The 7,097-nt window shown below is 52.0% G+C and overlaps 1 protein-coding gene across 2 annotated transcripts, besides 1 other annotated feature; it reads right to left on the bottom strand.

Moving 5' to 3' along the window:
• MAGEC1 (MAGE family member C1) lies at positions 740–6,220 on the bottom strand. Of its 2 annotated transcripts, none has more exons than NM_005462.5 (4): positions 6,136–6,220; positions 5,300–5,397; positions 5,038–5,144; positions 740–4,705 (listed from the first exon to the last, which is right to left on the bottom strand). In NM_005462.5, the coding sequence occupies exons 3-4, from the start codon at positions 5,039–5,041 to the stop codon at positions 1,281–1,283; spliced, it is 3,429 nt and encodes a 1,142-aa protein (NP_005453.2). In that variant the 5' UTR covers positions 5,042–5,144; positions 5,300–5,397; positions 6,136–6,220; the 3' UTR covers positions 740–1,280. The 2 variants fall into 2 exon arrangements, with proteins under 2 accessions (NP_005453.2, XP_011529720.1); XM_011531418.3 differs by having other exon boundaries at positions 6,179–6,220.
• Positions 4,905–6,104: an enhancer, noted in NCBI's record as "MED14-independent group 3 enhancer chrX:140991796-140992995 (GRCh37/hg19 assembly coordinates)". NCBI's record gives its function as "activates an origin of replication core promoter dependent on BRD2, BRD4, P300/CBP and CDK7 cofactors, and independent of MED14, by STARR-seq in HCT116 cells {active_cell/tissue: HCT116}" and the evidence as "EXISTENCE:reporter gene assay evidence [ECO:0000049][PMID:35650434]".

Raw genomic sequence — 7,097 nt, 5'->3', positions numbered from 1 at the left:
AGGACCAATTCCTTTTCACCTTCCCCACTGATCATCCATCCAAACCACTAGTTTTATTTAAGCTCCACGAGAAATCTAGACCTTGCTTAGACTTGTCCACATTACATTCAAAAGAACCCAACTAAAAGTCCTGTCAATGGAATGGGCTTGGGCTCTCCCAGGCCTGGCAAATGAGTGCCAGCCTAGAGGCTTCTGAGCACCACATCAAGGAATTATAACCAAAATTCTCAGGAAAACTTGCAGATGATGGGTATCAATCACCTAGTCCTTGCACTGTGTTCAAGCTCACCAGTTACAGAGCCACAGAACACCTTCCATTAATTCTCCGTGTGGAGACTCCTCTCTGATTCATCCTCCACCCAGAGGGAACTGCTCAAGTGGTTTTCCTTTCCAGGCTTTTCTCTCACCTTCTGAGAGTCTGGGCCCTGCCACCACCCAGCTTCATAACGATCAGCTCCCACAGAAGCACCTACAGTTGCCCAAAGCCCAAAACTGCCTTAGCTCAGGGCCTTTTTAATCAAAGGCTCCATCTGGAGTCTCACCTCCCCACTCCTTTTTAAACTTATTCTTTAGATTGTAGAGAAAATCTTACCACATTCCTGATATGGCTTCTGGACCTACACTCTACCGTTTTAGGGTTAGGGATGAGTCTTGCTTTTAATGGTAACTTCACTACTAACAGTAATTTCTATGAGCAAATGCTGATACAATGTTCATCAAATAAATGAGTCACTGACACTTTTATTTATTACAGTTTACTTTCTTCTACTTTCTTACGTAAGCCAAGCAAACCAGGTATGTATCTTTAGTTTTCAAGAACAACAGACTAAAGGACCTGAGGAAATGCAAACATTAACAATCCTTTACTTTATTCCACTATTTAACTGCAGAGTTCCTTCACAGTTTCAAGAAAATTCCTACAGTAACACCACATTAACCTGTGACACATCACAAAATGAGGCAGAAGGTTTTCCCAATGTGGTGTGTTTGGGTGTGTTTTTGTTTTTACAAAATATCAAACTGTTACTCTTAAACCAGAAAAACAGCAATACATGTGCGACTCATGTGCATAAACTAGGATTCTGAAGCTATTTAAACCTGTTATTAATAGGAAAAGCATTTGAAAAATACCCAAAAGTAAAACAGGTAAACCCCATAACTACCCATATGGAACAGAAATGCAAATAGCACTGTGTTCTCTCCAGCCTCAACCAGGCCCTCCACCACGTAGAAACTCGACTGCCCCCTTCAAACTCAGAGGGAAGAATCTGCCCTAGACTTCACTCAGAAGAGAAGCTGGGGGACATGACACTGGAGCTTGCACTTTCTGTGGCAGTCGAATCATCTGTGGTGTCAATTATGGCCTGGGCTCTCTCTTCCACATCTTTCAAAGCATCCTTGTAAGAGGATGGAAAGGTAATAGGGACGGTATTCTTTAGCATGGCCAAAAACTCTACTACTTTCCTCTTAATGACTTCTGAATGAGCTCTTGGACCCCACAGGAATTCGTAACGAGGAGGAGAAGAGTTGGGCACCTCCCGGTACTCTAGGTAATGTTCCTGCACCCAAACTTTAGTGAGGAGCTCCCTGGGCTCCCCAAAGGCAAAGTGCTCCCTCCCAGCACGCACCCCTATTCCACTCAGCACATCCCAGATGACCTCCTCAGAGGCATAGGTGCCCTTTATGAAGATGATACTCAGAATAAGAATCAGGAGGCGGTTCTGGGACATGCCCTGCTCATCACTCAGACACCCCTCAGAGGTGAGGTCTAATGTGTTTACAAAGACATAGGAGTCATCAGGGTCCACTTCTCTCAGGGAAATGCCAAAAAGTATCTCTATGAACTCACGGGCTTTCCTGAAGATCACAGGAAAGTAGCCCGTGTACCTGCTGATGACATTCGTCAGCATCTCTGCCTTTGTGATAGGCTGCTTCACTTGATATTTGAGGAGAAGAAACCGCGCCAACTCGTCCACCTTTTCATCCAGTGTATAAGTGAACAAGGGCTCGCTCTCTATCAAGGACTCGCTGTCTGTCAAGGAATCACTCTCTAGCAAGGTGTCTGAGGAACTTGTATATTCATCTACTGGGCTGCTGGACTCTTCACTGAATGGGCTCAATGAAGTGGAGGAGGAGAAGGAGATCACAGGACTCTGGAGAGGACTCTCAGGGGAACTCTTGGAAAGACTCGATGAAGTGGAGGAGGGGAAGGAGCTCACAGGAGAACTCTGGGAAAGACTCGATGAAGTGGAGGAGGGGAAGGAGCTCACAGGACTCTGGAGAGGAGACTGGGCAGGCCCCTCAGGAGGACTCTGAGGACTCTCATGGGAACTTTGGAGAAGACTCGCTAAAGTGTAGGAGAAGAAGGAGCTGACAGGTCTCTGGAGAGGAGACTGAGCAGGCCCCTCAGGAGGACTCTGAGGACTCTCAGGGAAACTCTGGGGAAGACTCAAAGAAGTGGAGGAGGAGCAGATACTCACAGGACTCTGGAGAGAAGACTGGAAGTCCTCCCCCTGAGGAGGAAACTGAGGAAAGTGGAGAGGAGAGAGGGAGTCCTCCCACTCAGGAGGACTCTGAGGAAAATGGAGAGAAGACAGGGAGTCCTCTCCCTCAAGAGGACTCTGAGGAATTTGGAGAGGAGACAGGGAATCCTCCCCCTCAGGAGCACTCTCAGGACTCTGGAGAGGAGATTGGGAGTGCATCCCCTCAGGAGGGCTCTGAGGACTATGGAGAGGAGACTGGACAGGCCCCTCAGGAGGACTCTGAGAACTCTCAGGGAAACTCTGGGGAAGACTGGATGGAGTGGAGGAGGAGCAGATGCTCACAGGGCTCTGGAGAGAAGACTGGAATTCCTCCCCCTGAAGAGGACTCTGAGGAAAGTAGAGAGGAGACATGGAGTCCTCCCCCTGAGGAGGGCTCTGAGGAAAGTAGTGAGGAGACAGGGAGTCCTCCCCCTGAGGGCTCTGAGGAAAGTAGTGAGGAGACAGGGAGTCCTCCCCCTGAGGAGGGCTCTGAGGAAAGTAGTGAGGAGATAGGGAGTCCTCCCCCTGAGGAGGGCTCTGAGGAAAGTAGTGAGGAGACAGGGAGTCCTCCCACTCAGGAAGACTTGGAACAATCTGGAGAGGAGAATGGGTATTCTCCCCTTCAGGAGGACTCTGAGGAATCTGGAGAGGAGACTGGGGAAAACCCTCAAAAGTACTTTGAGTACACTCAGGGGAACTCTGGAAAAGACTCAATAAAGTGGAGGAGGAGGAGGAGGAGCTCACAGGAATCTGGAGAGGAGACTGGGGAAAACCCTCAAAAGTACTGTGAGTTCTCTCAGGGGAACTCTGGAAAAGACTCAATAAAGTGTAGGAGAAAGAGGAGCTCACAGGAATCTGGAGAGGAGACTGGGGAAAACCCTCAAAAGCACTTTGAGCACTCTCAGGAGAACTCTGTAAAATACTCAATAAAGTAGAGGAGAAGGAGGAGGTCATAGGAATCTGGAGAGGAGACTGGGGAAAACCCTCAAAAGTACTGTGAGTTCTCTCAGGGGAACTCTGGAAAAGACTCAGTAAAGTGGAGGAGAAGGAGGGGCTCCCAGGAATCTGGAGAGGAGACTGGGGAAAACCCTCAAAAGTACTTTGAGCACTCTCAGGAGAACTCTGGAAAATACTCAATAAAGTAGAGGAGAAGGAGGAGGTCATAGGAATCTGGAGAAGAGACTGGGGAAAACCCTCAAAAGTACTGTGAGTTCTCTCAGGGGAACTCTGGAAAAGACTCAATAAAGTGGAGGAGGAGGAGGAGCTCACAGGAATCTGGAGAGGAGACTGGGGAAAACCCTCAAAAGTACTCTGAGTTCTCTCAGGGGAACTCTGGAAAAGACTCACTAAAGTGGAGGAGAAGGAGGGGCTCACAGGAATCTGGAGAGAAGACTGGGCAAAACCCTCAAAAGTACTCTGAGTTCTCTCAGAGAAACTCTGGAAAAGACTCAGTAAAGTGGAGGAGGAGGAGGGGCTCACAGGAATCTGGAGAGGAGACTGGGCAAAACCCTCAAAAGTACTCTGAGTTCTCTCAGGGGAACTCTGGAAAATACTCAATAAAGTGGAGGAGAAGGAGCGGCTCACAGGAATCTGGAGTGGAGACTGGGGAAAACCCTCAAAAGGACTTTGAGTACTCTCAGGGGAACTCTGGAAAATACTCACTAAAGTGGAGGAGGAGGCGGCGCTCACAGGAATCTGGAGAACAGACTGGGGAAAACCCTCAAAAGGACTTTGAGTACTCTCAGGGGAACTCTGGAAAATACTCAATAAAGCAGAGGAGAAGAAGGAACTCGCAGGATTCTGCAGAGGAGACTGGACATCCTCACCCTCAGGAGGGCTCTGAGAAATCTCTAGAGGAGACAGGGAGTCCTTCCCCTCAGGAGAACTCTGAGAATTCTGGAGAGGAGACTGGGTGTCGTCGCCCTCAGGAGAACTCTGGGGAATCTGGAGAGGAGACTGGGAGTCCTTCCCCTCAGGAGGTCTCTGGAGAGGATCCGAGGAGTCCTCCCCCTCAGAACGACTCTGAGGACTCTGGAGAGGATACAGGGTGTCGTCGCTCTCAGGAGAACTCTGGGGAATCTGGAGAGGAGACTGGGAGTCCTCCCCCTCAGGACAACTCTGAGGACTCTCAGAGGAACTCTGGAGAAGACTCGGCATCCCAGCAGTAGGCATATCCTTGTCCCCTGGAGAACGCAGAAGCAGAGAGGAGGATGAGGATGAGAAAGAAAAACAGGAGGAGGACGAGGGGAATAAAAAGTGGAAAGAGGAAGAGAAAATGGAGGAAGCTTCCTCCTCTTCCTCATCTGGGGGATCCTCTGCATCTACCAACTCCAGTATGAAAATTGCCTTCTGGAAGCCTTGCTCAAAGCTGGGGCGTGGAAGGTTTAGAAAGAGAGGCATGATGAATATTGTTCAGGAGCAGCAGGTAAACGTGTGAACACGAATAGGTATGATGGGATCCCACAGGACTGAGGGAGAGAGGGACAGTGCCAGTGGCCTCAGCTGAGAAACTCACCCATGATGGCTCTGACAAAGGCCGGCTTACAGCTCTTCTTCTCTTAAGGTGGTGCTCTAGGGCCTCACAGGTCGCCTGTCTTCCTAGGGGGTTTGTCTTCTGGGAACCTGTAGAAGGACGCGAGAAAGCACCTCGGGGCACAGCTGGCAGGCAGAGCCTGAGGCACCAGGAATGACAGTGGGTGGCTACAGGCCGGGTGCTGCCAGGTCTGCCCTGTTTCTGGGGGTAGGGCCCTTGGTACACAGTCAGGTCGTGCACTCACCTTGACTCCTGGCACTGCCTGGGCCTCCTCTGCTGTGGTGCTTTTAGGATGTATGTGTCCCTCACACCCAGGTCTTCAACTCCTGCTTTCTGGAGCACCTGCAAGAGGAAGGGAGGGAGCCCCTCCAGCTAAGACGGCAGCTGGGGCTGGCCAGACTCCCAGAGTCCCACAATTCTGAGGTTCGTGACCCCCTCAGAATTCAATTAGCATTGTCACATTTTCTCAGACAGGGCCAGGCCCCCACCACTCTGCTGGCCTGAGGAAAAACCTCAGGAAAACTCCACATCACTGAGAGCAGTGGGAGGTAGTGAGGTGGCAGCCACCTCCCAGCACTCTACCACGGGGGCGGTCCCTGTGGCCTCACGTCTGTTCTGACGCACATGTGACCCCTCAGTCCTCACTCTTGTTCCCAGCAGGGCCTGGGAATCTTCCCTCTGCCAACTGGAGGCAGCTCCCCATGCTGACTTGCCATGGGACCCCCAGAACAAGGCCTCCTCCTCCCCCTCCCCTACACCCCTCACCCAGCAGTGAGAGGGTGGCCGCTCAGCCTCAGCCACCTGGGGAGCTCTATGGGGGCTGATTTGAGGAGCAGGGTGGGAATCTCTGGGAATCTGTCCTCTGAGGTGGGGGTTCCCCCGGTCCTCCTCAATGCCTTCCTATTTATTCTCTAGAGGGCCGGCATTTCCTCCCTTCTTCTGCCGTGAGGACACGTCCCTCAGCCCTCGGCTACCATCTTCGTTTCCGCCACCTACAAGTGCCACCGCAGGGATAGGGCAGGCCAGGGCTGCTTCTCTCTGTGGTGGGGTTGTCCCTCACTTCTCCCTCGGGGCCCTCACCTTGAAGACTGGATAGGTCTATAAGTCTCCTCCCTCCGCTGACCTGAGACGATCCTCGTCACAAAATGCCTCAGGTCCTTCAGACTCCCAAGATGGCCGCCGGGAAAGCACATCCGGCAAAGCACATCCGGGAACTCTGTCAGGGTTGATCAGGGCTGACAGCCCGGATAGCGTGGGGCGGGGCCTCCTCTCAGAGGAGGAAGGCGCCCCCCCCCCGCCGCCCGCTTGTCAGCCTCCTTTCCATCCCTTCCTTCCCACCTCCAGGATGTGCTCCAAACCTTTCTGCTCACTCCCTAAGCCCTGCTGACCTCTTCCCTCCCACCTCCCCAGTCCTTGACACTCACACCCCACCTTTTTCCAGGGCTGACAGCAGGGAGTGGCAGGGTGCAGCCTGTGCCTCCCCCGTGTTCGGAGGTCACTGTCCTTCGACAGAGTTCTCTTCTTGTTGAGTGGCCAGCCCTGGGGCTACTCCCTCTGTTTAACTGAAGCTGCCCTCCTCAGAGAAAATCTCCCCTCTGGCTGACTCCCAAAATGGAAGTCAGAAATTTGTAAATCTGGGGACCCTGATGGGCTCCTCCATGGCTGGCAGCAGGCACAGGGACAGGACAGGCAGCACTACCAGTCATGGGTGTTCCCTTCCTGCCTTCCTGAGAGGCTGTTCCTGGACTCCTGACATTGTCTGGGCTCCCTGCCTCTATGCATCTGAGTCTTTCACCTCCGAATAAGCCCCTCCCATCCTTGAGACCTGCAAGGTGCAAGAGAGGTAGAATCACATCCATCCACAGTGGGGTATGGCCTCCCAGACTCCAGGTAGGGCTCCACTGCCCTCCGTCTGAAATGGCATGGGAGGGACCCTCAGTCTTCCTCAACCTATTATTCCTGATACGGCCTCCACTCCCTCCCTCTTCTCTCCAGGGACTGTTTTTCAGATCAAGGTTCCCATTTCCATGAACCCCCCAAGA

Source organism: Homo sapiens, chromosome X, assembly GCF_000001405.40.
Source record: "Homo sapiens chromosome X, GRCh38.p14 Primary Assembly".
NCBI lineage: Eukaryota > Metazoa > Chordata > Mammalia > Primates > Hominidae > Homo > Homo sapiens.
This window is presented reverse-complemented; position numbering and strand designations above follow the sequence as displayed.